Below are 705 nucleotides of genomic sequence, written 5' to 3'. Positions count from 1 at the left end.
CAGGAGAATTGATGTATAGGAGTCAGTCAGGATGAGCCCATGTGCCCATTGCTCAGGTATTTCTATCTTCACCACTGACAACTTTTGCATGTTCCGGTTCAGAAGAATCTGAACATGAGTTTTCTATTAGGTCGGTGCAAAAGTAATTGCGGTTTCTGCCATTACTTTTAAAGTTGTCAATGGCAACTGCTAATGACAGAAATTGCAATTACTTTTGCACCATTCTAAATATTTGTTTTTATTCCCTTTATAAAAAAATATTAAAATAAAGGATGAAACCTAGGAGGCCATTTGACTTACCTCACAGAACTCAGCCTACAGGCAAAGCAGCATGAAATTGGTAATGAACAAACACATCAGCTTCCATTGCTTTGCTTTCCTTCATTAAGTAGATTTGAGAGGCATTTTTACTTTGGGTTCATAAGTTTTCTCCCTAATGAGTAGGAGCTGTTTAAAACAACATCCTGATTTAGAGTTTCCCCTGACTTATTTTTTAATGTGATATATTAGAAATCCCCTTTTCACTTATATCTTTCAGAAGTGGTGCCAATAATGTGGGGGACAATAAATTATTCAAAGTGGGGGTAGCCATATAACAAACAGGAGAGCCAGCAGTTTATGAAAGATAGCTGCACACAAATGCACATTTGCCAGCAAAGTCGACAACAAATCAGAAATGATATATGACCTTTCTCACATGCCTGC

Source organism: Homo sapiens, chromosome 2 (assembly GCF_000001405.40).
Source record: "Homo sapiens chromosome 2, GRCh38.p14 Primary Assembly".
NCBI lineage: Eukaryota > Metazoa > Chordata > Mammalia > Primates > Hominidae > Homo > Homo sapiens.
The sequence above is the reverse complement of the archived record's forward strand: the minus strand, read 5'-3'. Positions refer to the sequence as shown.